Below are 3221 nucleotides of genomic sequence, written 5' to 3'. Positions count from 1 at the left end.
TGCCCAAGCTCCAGCCAGCATGTTCTCAAATAACCAGAGACAGTAAAGGGGCTGTTTCTTCCCTCTTTCATAAAGGGGCTGTTTCTTCCCTCTTTCAATCAATCTCCTTTCAATCATTAAGGAAGACCTTTGCCAGAAACTCCAATACACTCCCCACTCGTGTCTCATTGACCAGAATTATTTCATGTGCCCATGCTGAGCCTATCACTAAGCAAGGGAAATAGGAAAACATGGTTGGTTTAGACCAATTACTATTAACTTCTTGAGGTCAGAGACCGCTTCCTGTAAAGAACATGACCACGTGGAGGACAGTAGACAGCAAAAAATAAATGGAGGTTTTATTGGGAAAGAGGAAGAGGAAACCAAGTTTTTGCCACATTCTAACCACAGAAGTGGACCTCACAGTGGGATTCATCCTTCTTCCTCCCCAAATACAAGCTCCAGAGGACCAGCATTAATTATCAGAAATAGTACTGTCTGTCTCAGCAGTTCTCAAACAATAATGTGCATAAGAATCACCCTAGAAGTTTGGTGAAAGGGCAGATCTCTGAGAATGATGGAACTTGAGCCTAAATCCATCTATTTTAACACCTGGGCTTTTAACCATTGTCTTATTGAGCTCTTACCCTGTGTCAAGCACTGCTCTAGGAGCACTCCCTTAATGCCTACAGCAGAATTAGGCCTAAGAAGTTCCCCTTCATAGGTCCCCTGTGACCCACCTTATCCTCCAGAATGTTCCTTCCAGCCAAAAAAAAAAAAAAGTTGTGCCCACCCCAATTTTCCAGCCCCTTGGACAGAGTTCTGATCTTTGAAATTTTCATCAAAGTGAGACAGGAATAATACAGGGTGGTCACAGGAGAACAGAAAATTCCAGGCAGCACTTTCACATGGCTAGGCAAAAGGCAGATGTTGAAATAGCTGCAGAAGCTAGGGTCTGATAAAACCCTGAAAAACCAGGGTGTGGACCATGCTGGCTAAGACCAATTGAACTTAATTGGCACTGGATTTGACCTAGGTTTCACCTAGAACCTTATGTTTTTGTTTGTTTGTTTGTTTTGTTGTTGTTTTGAGATGGAGTTTCACTCTTGTCACTCAGGCTGGAGTGCAATGGCGTGATCTCAGCTTACTGCAGCCTCTGCTTCCTGGGTTCAAGCAATTCTCCTGCCTCAGCCTCCCAAGTAGCTGGGATTACAGGTGCCCACATTCACACCTGGCTAATTTTTGTATTTCTAGTAGAGACAGGGTTTCACCATGTTGGTCAGGCTGGTCTTGAACTCCTGACCTCAGGTGATCTGCCCCGGCCTCCCAAAGTGCTGGGATTACAAGAATGAGCCACTGCACCCAGCCTATATACTCATTAACATTCTTAATCACAAACCCACCAGTGCCAGGACAGTTCCAGGAGCACCCATATTGATGTAAAAATTGGTGGCACCATAATTCTGAGAAATCTCCAGCTTTTTCCAGGAATTTTCATGAATATTCCTTCCCTTGGTATGCCCACACTCCTCTCTCTTGAGTATGTACTCAAGACCCTATTGCATGTTTCTATTCTTCCCCCAGCTCATCGAGATTCCCTCCTGTCAATGGAAGAAGGGAGTGCGTGTAATAAACAGATTCTCCCAGCTCTTCAGATAACTACTTTTGTGTTCCTGTACTCTCGGGACCACAGTTTTCCTGTGAGTAATATCTTGATGGAGAAGTTTCTATCCACCTTCAGCCCTTTGTTGAGATCCTGTACCCCCGGGAGTATATAGAGAAGCATTGAGGTGTGAGTGAGAAGGGAGGGGGATAAGAGAGTACAATTACTCCTGGGAACATTCCCTTTCTTTGGGGAGAAAAGTGGCATATCATTGACACTGCTGGATCTCATCAAACACCGAAGCATCCCTTAAAATAATTATTTGAATCTACAAAGCTAATGAGCAATTGCCAAAGCTCCTTTCGTGCTAATGGGGCCGCATTGTGTTCCCACTAATGAGTGCTGATTGGCACTCCATTCAGATGCAAACCTTGGTCTTTTTTTCTTACAAATAGCCTTTTTTTTTTCCTTTTAAAGGCATACTCTGGGGGTGCTGAGAGTTTCAGCTTGATTGCAAATCTAAAATGGAGTTTGGGATTTGATTCCTTCAATTCCCACCCCAAATCTGCCTGCTCACCCTCTTCCCAGTGTCATCAAAAACTGTTCTTTTGGAGACCTTAAATTTAAGAGATGGTGGGCTTGAAATTGGATAGAAGAAGGTGCAGTTTCTATAACCACCTGGTGAGAGGGGGTAGTGTCTGCACCAGCACTGGTAAAGCAGCTGGTTATTATTAAGAAATGTCTTCTCTCCTCTGCTCTTCCCTACAAATCTCAAGGTCTTACTGTCTTGCAGCTTCTGCATCTAAGTGCCTTTCATCTCAGTCTTTAATGTCCCTCAGTCAACATGTTCTCTTGTTGAAAATGTACTTTAGAGAGCAACTGTTCCCCTTCCTGCACTTTGCCTGAATAACCACAATCTAGCCCAGACACAGTAGATGCTTGATGATTGCCCATGAAGCAAATGTGGGGCCCTATTTCTGCTGCCATCCTTTATCCTTTCCATCTATTTCCTACGGTCTATGTAATAGATCTCCAATACTAATCTGAAGGTACAGAATCCAGTGCAATGGCGGAATTGTTAGATTCATGAGAATTACTCTCTTCAGCATTGCAGGGGTTGCTAAGTCCAGCTGGCTGCACAAGCAATGGCTAGGCTCTATGATCAGTGGTCCCTGGAGGAGGCTAGTTAAGTGTCTCATCTCTCCTCTTCCCTGGGCTGAGACACAACAGTCCAGGTCTGAGGAAGGAAGCAATACAAATAGCACAGGACTTAAGGCACAGGCTTCATCACCATATAGACCTAAAGTTGAGGCTGAGCTCTACCTTATAGCAGCTGTGTGACCTGTAACAAGATTCTTAACTTATCTAACCATCATCAGTAAAATGAGGATAATAAGAGTACGCAGCTGGTTGTTTATAAGATGACTACCATAATCCACCCCCTCCCCACATCCATATCTTGAGAAGGTCACCTCTATGTATAATCTGGTCTTAGTCATGTGACTTGCTTTGACCAATGGGACATTAACCAATGTGATGCAAGCAGAGGCTGGAAGCCTTCTTGCACATTAGGATTTACTCTCTTGCTGCTGAGAACTTTCCTACCATCATGTGAACCAGTGTGGGCTGATACTGACAG

At 44.1% G+C, this 3221-nt stretch overlaps 2 annotated features.

Moving 5' to 3' along the window:
* Nucleotides 1267–1902: an enhancer, noted in NCBI's record as "OCT4-NANOG-H3K27ac hESC enhancer chr16:23798577-23799212 (GRCh37/hg19 assembly coordinates)". NCBI's record gives its function as "activates a minimal SCP1, AML or CMV promoter by ChIP-STARR-seq in primed H9 embryonic stem cells {active_cell/tissue: H9 hESC(primed)}" and the evidence as "EXISTENCE:reporter gene assay evidence [ECO:0000049][PMID:30033119]".
* Nucleotides 1903–2538: an enhancer, noted in NCBI's record as "OCT4-NANOG-H3K4me1 hESC enhancer chr16:23797941-23798576 (GRCh37/hg19 assembly coordinates)". NCBI's record gives its function as "activates a minimal SCP1, AML or CMV promoter by ChIP-STARR-seq in primed H9 embryonic stem cells {active_cell/tissue: H9 hESC(primed)}" and the evidence as "EXISTENCE:reporter gene assay evidence [ECO:0000049][PMID:30033119]".

Source organism: Homo sapiens, chromosome 16 (assembly GCF_000001405.40).
Source record: "Homo sapiens chromosome 16, GRCh38.p14 Primary Assembly".
Classification (NCBI taxonomy): Eukaryota; Metazoa; Chordata; class Mammalia; order Primates; family Hominidae; genus Homo; species Homo sapiens.
This window is presented reverse-complemented; position numbering and strand designations above follow the sequence as displayed.